This window comes from Homo sapiens, chromosome 8 (genome assembly GCF_000001405.40).
Source record: "Homo sapiens chromosome 8, GRCh38.p14 Primary Assembly".
Lineage (NCBI taxonomy): Eukaryota > Metazoa > Chordata > Mammalia > Primates > Hominidae > Homo > Homo sapiens.
In genome coordinates, this window is record NC_000008.11 from 62,986,956 (window position 1) to 63,004,937 (window position 17,982).

At 39.9% G+C, this 17,982-nt stretch overlaps 1 protein-coding gene across 2 annotated transcripts in view; it reads left to right on the top strand.

Moving 5' to 3' along the window:
- The window catches only part of NKAIN3 (sodium/potassium transporting ATPase interacting 3), a 750,799-nt gene extending 738,102 nt beyond the window's left edge, over positions 1-12,697 (top strand). The window contains exons 6-7 of one of the 2 annotated variants that reach the window (NR_130764.2): positions 3,213-4,114; positions 12,276-12,697. Coding sequence is in view for 1 of the 2 variants with exons in the window: in XM_017013359.2 (XP_016868848.1) it covers positions 12,276-12,379 (104 nt within the window). In the remaining variant the exon portion in view is untranslated. The remainder of the gene's footprint in view (positions 1-3,212; positions 4,115-12,275) is intronic. The other variant, XM_017013359.2, reaches the window with a different exon arrangement.
- The last annotated feature ends 5,285 nt before the right edge of the window (positions 12,698-17,982 follow it).

Sequence of the window (17,982 nt, forward strand, 5' to 3'; positions counted from 1 at the left end):
ACATTGCCCCTGCTCTTTCATGCTTATATGATTTGGGAGCTCTTCATGTATAATGGTTATATCATCTTGAATGCTAGATATATTTCCACATTGTTTAAGACCTAAGTTCAATTATGTCCTACTAAAAGTGCACTCAATATATAATTATTGGCTGCGTGTGGTAGCTCATGCCTATAATCCCAGCACTTTGGGAGGCCGAGGTGGCTGAATCGCTTGAGTTCAGGAGTTTAAGATTAACCTGGCCAACATGACAAGACCACGTATCTACTAAAAATACAAAAAAAAACATCAACTGGGTGTGGTGGCTGGCGTGTGCCTGTAATTCTACTTGAGAGGCTGAGGCATGAGAATCACTTGATTCTTGGAGAATCACAGCTGCTTGGGAGGCTGAGGCATGAGAACCCTTGAATTCAGGAGGTGGAGTATATTAGGCTGTTTTCACACTGCTAATAAAGACCTACCTGAGACTGGGTAATTTATAAAAAATAAGAGGTTTAATGGACTCACAGTTCCACATGACTGAGGAGGCCTCACAATCATGACAGAAGGCAAAGGAGGAGCAAAGGCACGTCTTACATAGCAGCAGGGAAGAGATCATGTCCAGGGGAACTCTCCCTTACAAAACCATCAGATATCATGAGACTAATTTACTATCATGAGCACAGCATGTGACAGACCTCCCCCCCATGATTCAATAACCTCCCACTGGGTCCCTCCTATAACACATGGGAATTATGACAGCTACAATTCAAGATGAGATTTGGGTGGGGAACACAGCCAAACCATATCATTCTGCCGCTGCCCCTCCCAAATCTCATGTCCTCACATTTCAAAACACAGTCATGCCTTCCCAACAGTCCCCCAAAGTCTTAACTCATTACAGCATTAACACAAAATCCCAACTCCAGAGTCTCATCTGAGACAAGGCAAATCCCCTCTGCCTATGAGACTGTAAAAATCAAAAGCAAGTTAGTTACTTTCTAGATACAAGGGGAGTACAGGCATTGGGTAAATACTCCTGTTCTAAATTGGAGAAATTGGCAAAAACCAAAGGGCTATAGGCCCTATGCAAGTCTGGAATCCAATGGGGCAGTCATTAAACCTTAAATTTCCAAAATGATCTCCTTTGACTCCATGTCTCACGTCCAGGTCACAGTGATGCAAGAGGTGGGCTCCCACAGCCTTGGGCAGCTCCACTTCTGTGGCTTTGCAGGGTACAACCTCCTTCCCAGCTGCTTTCATGGGCTGGTTATGAGTGTCTATGGCTTTTCCAGATGCACAGTGCAATCTGTCAGTGGGTCTACCATTCTGGGGTCTGAAGGATGGTGACCCTCTTCTTGAAGCTCCACTAGGCAGTGCCTCAGTGGGCACCTTGTGTGAGGGCTCCAACCCCACATTTGCCTTCTCCACTGCCCTAGCAGAGGGTCTCCATGAGGGCTCCGCACCTGCAGCACACTTCTGCCTGGATATCCAGGTGTTTCCATACATCCTCTGAAATCTAGATGGAGATTCCCAAACCTCAGTTCTTGACTTCTATGCACCCACAAGCTCAACACCACATGGAAGCTGCCAAGGCTTGGGGCTTGCACCCTCTGAAGCCACAGCCTGAGCTGTACCTTGTCCCCTTTTAGCCAAGGCTGGAGCTGCTGGTAGGCAGGGCACCAAGTCCCTTGGATGTACACAGCAGGTGGGCTTTGGGCCCAGCCCAGGAAACCATTTGTTCCTTCTAGGCCTCTGGGCCTGTGATGGGAGGGGCAGCTATGAAGATCTCTGACATGCCCTGGAGACATCTTCCTCATTGTCTTAGTGATTAGCATTTCAGCTCCTCATTACTTATGCAAATTTCTGCAGACAGCTTCAATTTCTTCCCAGAAAATGGGGTTTTCTTTTCTATCACATCATCAGGCTGCAAATCTTCCAAACTTTTAGGCTCTGCTTCCTCCTGAATGCGTCACCGCTTAAAAATTTCTTCCCCCAGATATGCTAAATCATCTCTTTCAAGTTCAGTGTTCCACAGATCTCTAGGACAGGGGCAAAATGCCACCAGTCTCTTTACTGGAGTAAAGAACAACCTTTATTCCAGTTCCCAACAAGTTCCTTATCTCCATCTGAGACCACCTCAGCCTGGACTTTATCATCCATAGCACTATGAGCATTTTGGTCAAAGACATTCAACAAATTTCTAGGAAGTTCCAAACTTTCTCACATCTTCCTTTCTTCTTCTGAGCCTTCCAAACTGTTCCACCTGTTACCCAGTTCCAACATCACTTCCACATTTTCGGGTACCTTTACAGAGGTGCACCACCATCTGGTACCAATTTACTGTTTTAGTCTGTTCTCACTCTACTAATAAAGACATACCTGAGAGTGGGTAATTTATAAAAAATACCAGGTTTAATGTACTCACAGTTCCATATGGCTGGGGAGACATCATAATCATGGCAGAAGGCAAAGGAGGAGCAAAGTCATGTCTTACATGGTGGCAAGGAAGAGAGCTTGTGTAGGGTAACTCCCCCTTACAAAGCCATCAGATCTCATGAGACTTATTCACTATCACAAGATCAGCACATGAAAGACCCACCCCCATGATTCTATAACTCCCACAACATGTGGGAATTATGGGAGCTACAATCTAAGATGAGATTTGGGTGGGGACACAGCCAAGCCAAATCACAGAGCTTGCGATGAGCTGAGATCATGCCACTGCACTCCAACAGAGGGAGACTCTGTCTCGAAAAAACATTTTTTAATAAAAAGAAAAATATGTATATATATAATTATTGAACATTTACTCTGTGGAAGATGTTGGTTCTACTTGGCAGAATTGGTCTTTCTACACCCTAAGAAATTTAGTATTACTTCCATTATTAGACATTGAACCCTAAATACACCTATGACATCATGAATTCTCTGAGTGCTTTGTAAATAGGAATCTAATTAGCTTTTTTGGCAATCACATTACCTTGTTCATTCCCATCAAACCTTTCTAACCTGGAGCCATAAGGTTATCATTCCCTGCCCTGCACACAAAGGTAAGTGTTAAGTAAAAATTCCTCATCTTGTATCTGCTCAATGAATGTTTAGACTTGATTTCAGGCACTTATATTGACTTTTATTACACTTAATTTTGTTTGATTCAGCAAATCATTTCAATCTAATAAGATCAATTTAAATGTTGATATTTTAAAAATCAACTTATTTTTTATTCTCAGATTCATGTGATCTGCAAGTATGCAAACATCTTTTTATCCAGATGCTGCAAATTATTGAATAAGCAAGAATTAGTAAGATATTATCACCAAATTGTCACATCAGTCAAGCCTCATGTGCTTCCTAAGAACTGAGGTGATGCATTATTTTAGAGTGTCATTCTAAACCCCAGATTCAACATCTTCCTAATCTTTCTAGTGCAGTCTAATATATAAATTTTATGAAAAGCATAGGTTTTTTTTTAACCAGCAGTGCTCTTTGAGAATTTACATTGATTCCTAAAGATTGCCATTGCTTTGTATAAAATGTTATAAATTATCTTAGCATCTTACCTGGAATTTCCACTAAATTCACCAATTTATGATTTGTGAAATCTGATTTTACTTTTTGAAAATTTTCATGTGAATTTCCCATTTTCAGTGTTGTAGCACCTCTCTCTTCCTCTAAGATCCTGCAAGCTCATCAAAAGCCATGATCTTATTATACCAGCAGTTTTATTTATTCAATCTTTCAACAAGTAGTTATTGAACTTCTATAATGTGCCAGGCTCTGGAGCTCGCCTTACACCAAACAGACACAATCGATCCATTCGAAGTGTCGTAATTACACATTGAGGGACCAACTAGACCTTTTCTCATTGTAAACTTGGAGCAAAAGTAAATTCATTAAAATAAATTTACATTATAGTGCCACAAAAAAATGAACAGAACCAGAAAGCATTTTTTACAAAAATTAACAGAACAGTGTGATAGAGGGGAAAAGGATGTGAGATCATGGTGCCCTACCTTCAATAGGGTGGCCAGAAAACACCTCTCTGAAGAAGCAGCATTTGAGCTGAGACCTGAAGAACGAGGAGTCAGTGATGCAGAGAACCTCAGGAGATGCCTTCCAATCTGAGAAAAGAGTAAGTGCAAAGGCCATGAGATGGGAAAGAGGTGAACAATGTTCAGGGAACTGAGAGGAGCCCTCTGTGGTTGAGCCTAGTAAGTTTAGGAGAGAGGCTTGAGACTGGACAGGTGGGAGGTAGGAGGTAGCTGGATTATTCAGAGCCTTGTAGATCAAGGCAAGAAGTTGAGGTTTTATTCACTAGGAAACCATGAGAGGGTGTTAGGTGTTAATAGCAGTGGGTAAGGCTAATCACCTCAATACCACCTCTTTGGGTATAAAATCCCAGCAAATACTAGGAACTGCATGTATCTTTAAAAACCAGAATTGTTGGCAAAGAAAAAGGACACTGCACTCTTCCTCTGCTTGAGCAGAAATTAAATTTAATGTCATTCCTCCCAGCTTGTGCCATCTTAATCCTTTGAGAATATACAGATATCAATGCAGAGCAAAGTATGTGCTTGCTCAGCTCACTGACACATAATAATCTGACATTAGTCAATATGTCGGAAAAGGAAATTCAATCACAAAAGACATTTTTGCTTCCAGATTATGTAGAAATGACTTCATTAAGTTTGTTTTCAGAGTGTTTTTCTGAAAAGCTGATGTCTCTTTAAATGGTTACATTAAAGAGCTCTAATGAAGACTTACATGAACTGAAATATCAGCACTAATGGTGCTTGATTCTGTCTTTGTCATTTTGGTGATGAAAAATAAAAGAAGACTGGATATCTCCTGTTAATGCAATACTTTTAGAACTCTTTAATTGAACGTGTCTTTAAGGGACAAAGTGTCCTGGTGAATAAAAAACAGCTCAAGCAATTTCCTTGAGTTGCAGGCATTGGTACAGAGAAAATATGTTCAGAAAAAAGAGGAATCAGTAGCTGGAGTTGAGGTGCCACTGAGACCCGGGGCCCATACCCAGCACTGCTCCCCTCGCCACCCCACTTTCTTCTCTTTCCTTCTTCTTCTTTTTTTTTTTCTTTTAGACAGAGTCTCGCTTTGTCGTCCAGGCTGCAGTGCAGTGGCACGACCTCAGCACTCTGCAGCTTACATCTCCCAGGTTTAAGTGACCCTCCTGCCTCCCAGAGTAGCTGGGATTACAGGCATGCACCACCACACCCAGCTAATTTTTGTATTTAGTAGAGACGGGGTTTTACCATGTTGGCCAGACTGGTCTCAAACTCCTGACCTCAAGTGATCCACCCGCCTCAGCCTCCCAAAGTGCTGGGATTACAGGCATGAGCCACCACTCCCAACCACTTCTCTTTTATTCTTTACTTTTCCTTCCTGTATCTCTGATCTCTCTGTATTTCTTATACTTGGGGATGCCCCTCTCTATGTTACTTTAGTGCCAGTTCTACTATTCATTTACTCCATATTTTTGAATCAGTGAAACTTCCCAGGGCCTGAGTTCTCTTGCCTTTATATAAAGAGAGGCTGACGCCTGTCCCATTGGGTTGCTATGGAAAACAGACAACACAGGCCATGATATATCGATAAGTCCCCTCCAAGTGTTAGTGTTCCCTCACCCTCACCCATCCCACCCTTTCAACTTTCCCTTTTCTCCCCTTCCCTTGCCCATGCCATAGGTCAAGTTTTTCATATAGCCATGATTCACTCTACCTGTGGCCCATGGGTTCCAAGGGCTAGAGGCCACCAGTATAGAGTTTATACACTCAGAAGTATATTCTAGCATGCAAATTCTTTCAAAAGAATTCTTTCAAAAAGAATTACCTGATCCCTTCTGCTAGTTAAAGGCAAGATTTTTTTCTGGTTGGGGAAAGCTGCATAACGAAGTTGAATCCTATACTTGCCTTCGTGCATAAGAGCAATCTGTCATCAGAGGCCAGTCCAAAAGGAAAACTAACATCCGGTTAATGAGGGCATAAAACTCAAGCTTTCTTGAGTACCTCACCTCCAAGCAGATTCAGGGACCCAGTCTCATTCTGTGTTCTGGTTTTGTGAAAGCCTAGGATCCTGAAGGTTTTGTTTTGTTTTGTTTTTTTGCCTCTAGGTACAAAAGAAAAAAGAGTGAAAATAGGAGTGATTGCATGGGGAAATTTTTAGGGGCCAGGCCTGGAAGTCGTCCACATTACCTCTTTCTGCCCACATTCCTCAGGCCAGAACATAATCATAGTATCCCACCAGACAGCAAGGAAAGCAGAAAAACAGGATCTAGCTGTGGCCCAAAAAGAAAAGGAAATAGAATATAGTGAACACATAGCAAACTCTGCCACACAACCTTTTATTACAAATAGTTTCGTTTAGTATTTTTTACATTGTAATGTGTATTTGATGTATTAGGATTTTACCAACACTTAAGAAAATTGGAAAATTAGGAGAAAAAGAAAATGTACTCAAACTTTAAGTTTCCATAGAATAATAGTGACTGTCTTAATCTTCATCCTCTGTGCATGTTACAAAAATAATATGTAAACCTGGAGAGTAAATAATGCCACCACAACATTATTCTCTAGAGGCACCATATGGCCCCCTTTCTCCCGGCACTGGAAAAATCTCTCACATGTCCTGTTTCTCCTTTTCAGCCTTCTATGGCCCCTTTGTCTCTCCAGCCTTTTTGCAAACGAATCACTCTTGTCCTTAGCCTCTGGTATTTGTTCTGGTTGGGCCTGATGTTGGGGTTGGAAGGATGGAAATGAGAAAAATACTATGCTAAAAGAGTCCTGGTAACTTTCTCTTCTTTGAGTTGCATTACCTAAGGCAGCCTATGTTTCTTTGTGACTTAGAGAAATGAATGAGGCAGATAAGGGGGTAGAAGTAACTACCTTTTCTCATTGAGATAATTTCTGCCCTGTAAAAGCAAGTTGAGAGCCAGGAAGAAAAGCACAAATGAAAGAAGCATGCCCCATAACTTATAAACCATCTTATCTAACTTCAGGTCACTGGTTTAATGCCCTTACATTATTCCAGAGCCTTTTATAAGCTCTTTAAATGCATTAATTACTTTGGGAAGACTTTAAATTGGAATATCAGTAGTGTAGATTTGTCACCATGTGTTAACATTAAAGATGCACGTACCCTTTGACCCAGAAATTTTTAGAAAGTTGTCCTGCAGATATACCCACATATGTGTAAAAAAGTCATTCACTGCTTTCATCGAAGCATTTTGGTAGTAAGAAAAGATTAGAAACAACCCAAATGCCTACCAGGGGAAAACTGCTTACATAAATTATGGTACTGCCATGCAATGGGTCGTTATGCAGCTATCAGAAAAGAATGGAGTCTGTGTGCTGGAGTATTTCCAAGATAGGGTAAAGGGCAAAGCCACATGCAGAAGTAGGTGCAGTATGCCACCATGTTCGTGAAAAGTGTGAAAGGGATTGTATGATGATTTGTCTAAGTGTAGAATGTCTCAGGAATGATGTAAAAGAAATCAGTTGCACTGGTCATCTCTGGGAAAAAGGATTGAGTGGCTAGGCACCACAGATCAAGGAAGGAGACATTTTAGGCTTTCCTCATAAAACCTGTTTGGACACTTCAAGTTCATTCATTCATTCATTCATTCATTAAATGTTATGGTCTTTAACCAGCAGTGTCAAAGGCTACTGAGAGCAGAGTTTCAGCTCCTCATTTTAACTGGAACATTCCAGAGAAGGAGCATCTCCTTGAAGGGAATTTGACTAAGGCATTAACCGAGAGAAGAGAAATGTAACCTACATTTCCTCCATCTCCATCTGGAGAGTCCTTTCAGGTGTCATCTTAGGAAAATCTAGGTTTTCCCTTTACAAGGAAGGTGGCATTTTATTTCATGGAAAATCAGACTCTGCTTTCTTATAGTTTTTTCAGCTTGGCTCAAGCTCAGGAAAGTAAATAGCAAAAATAGGTGAACCATAAAATTAAGCCTACATCATTGGGGTGTTAACTAAGGCCATTAAATTTGTCATTTGGGATCTAAATATTGGAGTAGGACTTTGATGATACTCTGAAATTGTACCTAAAGTAGACTAATCCAGAATAATAATAGAGTAAACAGCATGATTGAAAAATTTGAAAAACTACTTAAGCTTTCCAATTGGTATTTACATTTGCACATTCCCATCCTTAATGACATAAAATTAAATAGCTCTACAGATGCTTAATGCATCAGGGCTCAGTGAATCTGGAGGAAAAGCAGATGGCTTATGTATATCTGAGAGCATTTTAATATTAAGCAAATAAACCCCAATTAGATGGGCGTGGCAGAAGCATATCCTGTTGCATGCTTAATGGTGAGAAGTGGATATTTCAAATGTCTGTCCTCTGTACTTTACAAGAGTTTATTCAAAATGGCTGCATGGTAAGGGCTGGGGAATTAAACAAGGCTAAGAAGCAAGAGAGTAGATGAATGAGAATCCACACAGTGGTATAGATGAATGCTACAGTAGAAGCTGCTCAGCTGGTGCCTGAGAGGGAAGGGAGGACCTTTGTTCACACTGCTCTGTGTCTGTTGTGCTGACCTGGGACTAGGGTTGTTGCCGAACTAAAAACAAAGAAAAGCTAAACTGATCTATATCATAAATGTCATAGAGATATGTGGTAGAAGGAAGATGGAGGAAATGGTAAACACAAGGGGGAAGAAGGAAAGGTAGGTTGGGAGTTTAGAGAGGTAGGAAGGAAAAAAGGCTAGATGACATAAGAAACTTTAAGAAGAGTGGACAATCAATTCAGAATTTATATGTAAATCAAAACATCAAGTTGTTCACCATAGATATATAAAATTTGTATTCAACTATACTTCCATAAAGCCAAAAATATTTAAAATATTAGAAACATTATAATAGTTTTCAAAAGAGAGGTACCCAAACAGCAGCATCAGCATCACCTGGGAGCTTGTTAGAAATGCAAATTCTCAAGCCTCACCTCAGACTGAATCAGAAACTCTTGGGTGGGCCCAAAAGTCTGTGAACAAGCTCTGCAGGTGATTCTTATGCACTCTCAAGACTGAGAACCACTGGTCCACACCTTCTATTTAACATGATAACTAGGTTGACCTATGTTGTAAATATTCCCATTGAACATAAAAGTGATGTAAAATTGCTAGAAGCTGTCTGTATTGGTCTTTTTTCACACTGCTAAAAAGATACTACCTGAAACTGGGTAATTTATAAAGGAAAGTGGTTGAATTAACTCATAGTTCTGCATGACTGGGGAGGCCTCAGAAAACTTACAATCATGACAGAAGGCGAAAGGGAATGAAGGCACGGCTTACATGGTGGCAGGAGAGAGACAGAGTGCGCAGGGGAAAGCTGCCCCTTTTAAAACCATCAGATCACATGAGAGCTCCCTCACTATCATGAGAACAGCATGGCGAAACCACCTCCATTATCCAATCACCTCCCATCGGGTCCCTCCCTCGACACTTGGGGATTACAATTCAAGAAGAGATTTAGGTGGGGACACAGCCAAACCATATCATTCTGCCCTGGCCCCTCCAAAATCTCCTGTCCTTTTCACATTTCACAACCAATCATGCCTTCCCAACAGTCCCCCAAAGTCTTAACTCATTCCAGCATTATCACAAAAGTCCAAGTCCAAAGTCTCATCTGAGACAAGGTATGTCCCTTCCACCTATGAGCCTGTAAAATCAGAAGCAAGTTAGTTATTTCCAAGATACAATGGGGGGTACAAGTATTGGGTAAATGTTCCTATTCCAAAATGGGAGAAATTGGCCAAAACAAAGAGGCCACAGACACCATGCAAGTCCAAAACCTGATGGGGCAGTCATTAAATCTTAAAGGTCCGTAATGATCTCCTTTGACTCCATGTCTCACACCCACGGTACGCTGATGCAAAGGGTGGGCTCCCATGGCCTTGGGCAGCTCCTCCTCTGTAGCTCTGCAGGGTATGGCCTCTGCGGCTGCTTTCACAGGCTGGTGTGGAGTGCCTGCAGCTTTTCCAGGCACACGGTGCAAGCTGTCGGTGGATCTACCATTCTAGCGTCTGGAGGATGGTGGCCCTCTTCTCACAGTTCCACTAGGTAGTGCCCCAGTGAGGACTCTGTGTGGGGGCTCCAGCGCCACACTTCCTTTCCACACTGCCTTAGCAGAGGTTCTCCCTGAGGCTGTCTTATGAAGACCAGCGTGGGAGGCAATAGAACTGTTTACTGAAAGAAATATTAAGAAAAAAATTCCTTCCCCCACCCCACCCAGCTTTGGAAAAAAGTTGCTTCTGGCACATTTCTAGAAATTAAGCTCCAAATAAAATTTGTAAATTGTAGATGGAAAGTGATAATAAAGACAGGCAGGTGATAATGGGAGTGTATTTGGATTAACTTCTGAAAAAACAAAAAACTAGAAATTTGAGAGGAGATTTTAAAACCATGGCAGTGAGTAAGAATGAAGAGGTGAACAGAAAAAAAAAATGTTGGGTTTGTTTTAATTAAAAAACTAAAAGGTCAATAATACACAAGGCACTTAAATAAAAGTGATAAAGAAAAACAAATTAAGAGGATTTGGAACTCATGATTCACTTGAGGGTCACCTTGGTAGTAGTGAGATGTAATGGAGTGAGAAGAGCCTGGGTTTTCAGAGTCAGTGTTCAGATCCACCAGCTGTAAATTATATCATTCTGGATAATTCACTTAACATTAGGGATTGACATGCTTTCATTTGTTCTTACTTTGCCCTATAGTGAGAGAAGTAAAGTGTTTAATTAGGGCTATTATTAGTTTTCAATTTACCAAATAAATGAGCTCTTTTCTTTAAAAAAAAAAAAAAAAGAGGAGGAGGAGGAACAATGTATGGTGAGTGTGTTATGAAATCTGAGCGTATTTTTGACAATGCAATAGCCCCCTCCTCCAGAACCTCATAAAAATAAAAACTTCAACTAAAGACTTGTATTACCCCTTAGGGCTTTTTGGAGTCAGATTTATGGGTTTTTCTGTGTATGGTACTGGGTTGACATGAGGTTTGAGTTGGAATCAAGAAAGCCTCATGTTATTTGGGTTGAATTATTAAAATTGAGACTATGAGCCCAGTACATTTTTTCCAATATATTTCATGTTTAGGGCCATTCACATCAGCACTCATTTGCTGTTTGTGCTCAGAGACTTTACATCCCCTTGTGTCTCCAAGTTCTTGTCATCTATTTTATGAAAGAGGCCATATGGACACTGTCTTCTATAATGGTGTCAAATATTAGTCAGAGGGTTAAGTTGTAAAATGAGTGCATAAAGCAAAAGCTAAGTGTAGTCATTTTTCTTTCTCTCTCTCTCTCTCTCTTTTTTTTTCCCCCACAGGGAGGGATGGAGTCTCACTGTGTCGCCCAGGCTGGAGTGCAGTGGCCCAATCTCGGCTTACTGAAACCTCCACCCCCTGGGTTCAAGTGATTCTCGTGCCTCAGCCTCCCAAGTAGCTGGGATTACAGGCATTCACCACCACACCAGCTAATTTTTGTATTTTTAGTAGAGACGGGGTTTCACCATGTTGGACAGGCTGGTCTTGAACTCCTGACCTCAAGTGATCCACCTGCCTCGGCCTCCCAAATTGCTGGGATTACAGGTGTGAGTCACCGCTCCTGGCTGCTTTTCATTTTTCTATCACTTGCACTATACAACTGCTGATCCCTCACCAGTCCTGTTGCTGGTAGAGGTTTGGCTGATATGCATGAATTCGTGATTTGGGAAGATTTTCTGTCATCCAGTTTTCTTGAGGATGATTGTCATGCATATTTTTTCCTTTCACTATGGTGGTTGGTCCATTTGTCTTTCAGTGATAACTTGAAAGATGTTTTAAAAACTACCACTGCATCACAATCCCACCACCTCAAACTGGATGAAATTTCCTGCTTGATAAACCAACTAAGACTAAAAACTAGCAGTTAGTGATATCAGAAGAGAATAAAAAGTGTGTCTTCCATTCAAACAGTGTAAGGTGATATCTCATTGTGATTTTAATTTGCATTTCCCTAATAATTAGTGATTTTGAGCAGTTTTTCATGAACCTGTTGGCCTTTTTAAATTTTTCTTTTGAGAAATGTCTGTGCAGGCCCTTTGCTCATTTTTTAATTGGGTTATTGCTTTTCTTGTTGACTTGTTTGGGTTCCTTATATATTTTGAATAGTAATCCCTTATCAGATGTATGGTGTGTTAGTCTGTTTTGTATTGTTATAAAGGAATACCCACGGCTGGGTAATTTATGAAGAAAAGGTAGTCAGTTTTTTGGCTCATGCTTCTGCAGGGTGTACAAGCAACATGGTGCCGGCACCTGCTCAGCTTTTGGAAAGGACTCAGGAAGCTTTTACTCATGATGGAAGGCAAAGCGGGAGGAGGCACATCACATAGCAAGAGTGGAAGCAAGAGAGACGTCATGCTCTTTTAAGCAATCAGCTCTCAGGTGAACTAATAGAGTGAGAACTCACTCATTTCTGTGGGGAGGGCATCAAGCTATTTATAATGGATCCATCCTCATGACACAAACACTGCTATCTCCCACCTCTAACACTGGAGATGACACTTGAACATGAGATTTGGAGGGGACAAATATCAAAACTATATCATATGGTTTGCAGATATTTTCTTCCATCCTTGAGTTATCTTTTCATTTTGTTAATTGTTTCCTTTGCTGTGCTGAAGCTTTGTTTAATGAAATCCCATTTGTCTATTTTTTGCTTTTGTTGCCTGTGCTTTTGGGAACCTATCTAAAAATTTATTGCCGGGAGCATTGTTGTGAAGCTTCCCCCTATATATTCTTTTAGTAGTTTTACAGTTTCAGCTCTGCTGTTTAAGTCTTCAATCAATTTTGAGATTATTTTTTAATATGATGTGAGATGGAGATCCAATTTTACTCTTCTGAATGTGGATATCTGATTTTCCCAGCACCATTTATTGAAGAGACTGCCCTTTCCCCATTGTATGTCTTTGGCACCTTTGTCAAAAATCAACTGACTATAAATGTGTGAGTTTATTTGTGGTGTTAGTCAGAATGTAGAGAAAAGGGACCCCTTATGTATTGCTGGTAGGACCACACATTAGTACAGCCATAATGGAAAATAGTGTGGAGGTGCCTCAAAAGACTAAAAATAGAACCACCACATAATCCAGCAATTCTGCTTCTTGATATATAGCCAAAAGAATTGAAATACATATGTGGAAAAGATAGCTGCACTCTCATGTTTACTGCAGCATTATTCACGATAACATGATACGGACTCAACCTAAATGTTCATCAATGAATGAATGGATACAGAAAATGTGGTATATATACACAATGGAATACTATTCAGCCTCTAAAACGAAGGAAATTCTGTCGTTTATGACAACATGAATGAAGCTGATGGACATGATGTTAAACGAAGTAAGCGAGGCACACAAAGACAAATACTGCATGGTCTCACTTATACGTTGAATCCGAAAGAAACCAAATTCATAAAAGTAGAGAATAGAATGGTGGTTACCAGGGGTGGGGAGGGAAAGTGAGAAAGGAAATGGGGAGTTACTAGTCAAAAGAAGCAAAATTTCAGTTAGGCAGGAGAAATAAGTTTTTCGTTGTTGTTGTTTCTTGGTTTTTGGTTTGTTTGTGTGTTTATTTATTTATTTTGAGATAGAGTCTCGCTTCCTCATCCAGGCTGGAGGGCAGTGGCGTGATCTCGACTCACTGCAATCTCTGCCTCCCAGATTCAAGCAATTCTCCCACCTCAGTCTCCCAAGTAGCTGGGACTACAGGTATGGGCCATCATACCTGGCTAATTTTTCTATTTTTAGTAGAAACGGGGTTTCGCCATGTTGCCCAGACTGGTTTTGAACTCCTGGATTCAAGATATCCGCCTGCCTCGGCCACCCAAAGTGCTAGCATTACAGGGGTGAGGAATAAGTTTTTGAGATCTATGGCACAGCAGGGTGACTATAGCCAATAATAGTGTGTGATATGTTTCAAAATTGCTAAGAGAGTAAATTTCAGACATCTCACTTAAAAAATGATAAGTAAATGAGGTAATGGATGTTACTTAACTGAATTTAATCATTCCACATTGTATACATACATCAAAAGATCACATCGTACTCCATAAATGTATACAATTATAATTTTACAATTAAAAATAATATTAATAATAAAAATATTTTAAGGAGCATGTCTTCCTAGTGCCAAAGTGTTTACAGAAGCAAAGAGGGACAACCACACCAAATGATGGATCAAGTTACACGGGGACTTGGGACATTGGATTCAGCCACCTGGAGGTCATTGGTAACCTTGACAAGAGTAATTTCTATAGAGCACAGGGGTGAAAACACCAAAGTCCTGTGGAATAGATTTGAGAGAGGATAGGAGGGGAGAAACGAGAGTCATCAAGTATAGATGACTCTTTCGAGAAGGTTTATTGTACAGGTATACAGCAAATTAAGGAGATAATGAGAGAATGTGCAGAGTCAACAGAGGACTTTTAAAGGTAGGAGGTACTATAGTATGTAAGTGTGATTACCGGAATGAGTCTGGAGAGACGTAAATATTGATGATGTAGGAGGAGGGGGCCATTTGCTTGTGTGATGCCCCTGGATAGTAGAAAAGGGAAAGGATCTGGTGCACAGTAGAGGAGGTGGTCTCAGATGACAATAAGTGATTGGCCAGAGCTTCAGGTAGGGAAGGGAGAGAATATGTGTACAGATGACAGTGGGGGAGCACTGAACAGTGGGGCTTGTTGGGGGTTCTCCTCTAATCCTTTTCAATATTTCTGAGCTAACAGAAGGAAATTCATTATCTTACAGTGAGGAGAGAGGAAAGGTGTCGGAGATTTGACAGGAAGGGTGAGAAGCAGTTACCAAGGAGAATGAAGAAGAAAACAGACTAGGAAAGTGTATTCAGGTGGTGCAGTAGCACTGAAGGCCTGCTTATGGTAGTGCCAAAACCAGCTCAGTCCTCTTCAAATGAGCACCAAATGGAAGAATTGGTTTGCATTTAGGGGCCATTTATACACAAAATACAGCATTTTATTTTTTATCTTTATAGCTTTTTCAATAGTTTTTTGCTGATTGTGCACAGTGGAGTTTGAGAAAATTGAGAAATTAAATGCACATCTGGTGGTATCCACTGACCTTCCCTTTTTACTGATATTTATTCACCTAAGGATTATGGTTCCAGACTCACATTCAGTGTGGCTCTCAATATTATCCTGCTGTCAGCAGCCTAAGTACGTAGATGAGTGGAAAGCATGTACATGAAGACTTAACCATGTGTACTTCTGGTAGGTGACACTTAAGTAGAACAGGCAAATATTAAAGAAAAAAAGACTTAAATTTCCTAGAAGCAGGTGACATTTCTTCCATTTGTTTCACAAAATTTCACAAGTGAGAAAAGTCATGAAAAACTGGTCTTTGATCTTTTTTACCTCTTGAAAATGATGCAACATTTCTTTCTACTTCACAAGGTGAATATTTTTTTGAATGTTTTAAATCTCAAAGTTCAAACAATGGCATCAAAGCGCCAGGCTGGAGCTCACCATGGGGAGCCAGCCGGGGTCCTGTGCCCTGGGTGGCGCTGAGGCTCACGCTGTACACGGGGCACGGGGACAGTTCCAGAGCTCAGGGAGAGGCTTTGGTCCCAAATATGGACCACAGGCACAGGAAGCACTGCTTATTCCTTGGACTTTATACACTCAAATGCTTTCCTTCAAGAAATACAGTTTAAATTCCAGGCTTTGAGTTAGGCACAGGGGCTACAAAGTAAACAACTGTGGCCCTTCCTCCTCAAGAGCTAACTCCCAGTCCAGTGGAGAAGAAAGGTATTAAATTAGTGAGCTCCATGGAAGGCTAGAAGAGCCTGCAAAAGTCAAAGTCTATATGGAGCCAAGTGTCGGAGAGGGCCAAGGTAAATTTCATGGATAGTTTCAGAAGGAGTGTGGTGAAGGGGAGGATTTGGATTACAAAACATCTTATCTCGAACTGTGTAGCTTTAGGCAGGTCACAGTCTCTGAGCACCCGTTTTCCCATTTGCATAATGGGGGTAGTAGTAATAACAGTAATAATAAGTTACAAGAGGATGTGCTGATTAAATGTTTATCAACTGCTCTGTACCAGGGCTTTTCAAGTGCTCAGCAAATGTCAATTCCCTTCCCATGTTTCTGCCCTTGTATGTTTGAATTCTTTAACAATAAGCTGGAGATAGATGTTTTCAGATTAGACATGGAAAAATTAAGATAATCAGAGAGTTCAATTGCAAGTTAAAAGTCATGCCTCTGGAATTAGTTGAAGGTTTATAATTAAGAGAAAGTTTCTACAAAATAACTGGCCTATAGTCTTCACAAATGTCAAGGTCATAAAAGACAAAAACTGAGGAGCAGATTAAGGACTATGGAGACGTGAAAATTCAATGCAACTTGTGATTCTGAATTGGATTCTAGACCTGAAAATACTTTTTTTATTTGCATAGAGGACGATGTCAGGACAATGTGTAAAATTTTAATAAGGTGTGTTGATGTTGATAATTATGCAATATTATGTAAAAGAATGTCGTTGCTTTTAGGAAATATTCATTGAAGTATTTAGGTGTAAAAGGCAACACATCTGCAATTTAATCTCAAGTGGTTAAAAATAATATGTATATATGTGTCGGTGAATATACACACACACCACACACGTACACAGAGAATAGAGAATAGGAGAGAAAGAGAATAATAATGCAAATGTGTAAAATGTTAACATTTTGCTGTGGGTGAAGGGAATAGGAATTCTTTGTACAATATTTGCAATTTTCCTGTAAGACTAAAATTATTTCAAAATAAAGAGTTTCCATTATAAAAGGCAAAATAAATGAGTTTTAAGTCATAATGATTCAGGAAATCCTACAGAAAAAAAAAAATCTAAATTAACAGCCAGGCTTTAGAATGGAAACACATTAAAATGACCCAAGCAAGAATCCTGGCAAGGTTCACAGAATTCGTGAAGCCCTAATTAGAAGTGATGAGAACTGAACTGGAAATACCTTGACACACTCTCATTAGCTCAGCATCGGTTCTTGCCTTAAGGTACAGTTCAACAGGAGGGCACCCTTTGTGTGGTTTCTGGGCACCCTGAAGCCCTTCATAGTTTGTCAGGCCTTTCTGTTTGAAAGCAAAGAAAAGGTAAAAGCTTAATGGTAGTAGCAGAGCAGCAACAAAGGACACACAACTGATCCTACATGTAAATAGCTGGTTTGGAATCATGCCTTCTGGAAAACTTCATACTGTGATGATCACCTCTTGGAATGCTTTTATTCATGTAAAGCAGAAGTCTGTAAGCCTTAACCAGGCTACTTTAATTATACCATTTCAATGTCAGAATGATTCAGCTTCCTCTTAATTTAATGTGCACAATTATTTTATTTCTGAAAAAATCCATTACATAAAATATGGAAATATTCATATGTATAAAAATATAAATGAATAATTGTAATGTATTATATTTATGTACAATACGTAATTGCATATTTACATGTAAATATATGTAATATAATAAGCCCTTAGGAATTAATTTTAAAATTGCTAGAATTAATAAATGGCTCAATAAAAAGAATAGGTACAAAATTCACAGACAAACATATCAATGGAATGCTAGGAAACAAACTCCCCGCTTCCACATCCCTAAAAAATCTTTTAAAAATTTTTAGGGATACTCTTTTGATAGGTTCAAGGGGTGTATACTTAAAACTTTCTAAGATAGTATATAAATTAATCCCATTGAGAAATACCAATAGATAATGAAATAACTAATCCAATGAGAAATGTATCATATAAAAAACTACTTAGCTGAACTAGGAGATATAAAAGACACTTTGTGTATTGCCATATCAAAAAAGCTAAACATTGTAAAGATATGGGCTTTTTTCAAACTAATACATAGGCTTATTGTACTCCCAATAAAATCCATATTGTGGGGGAGAGGGGAAATTTTGAGAAAATAATCCTAAAATTCATCTT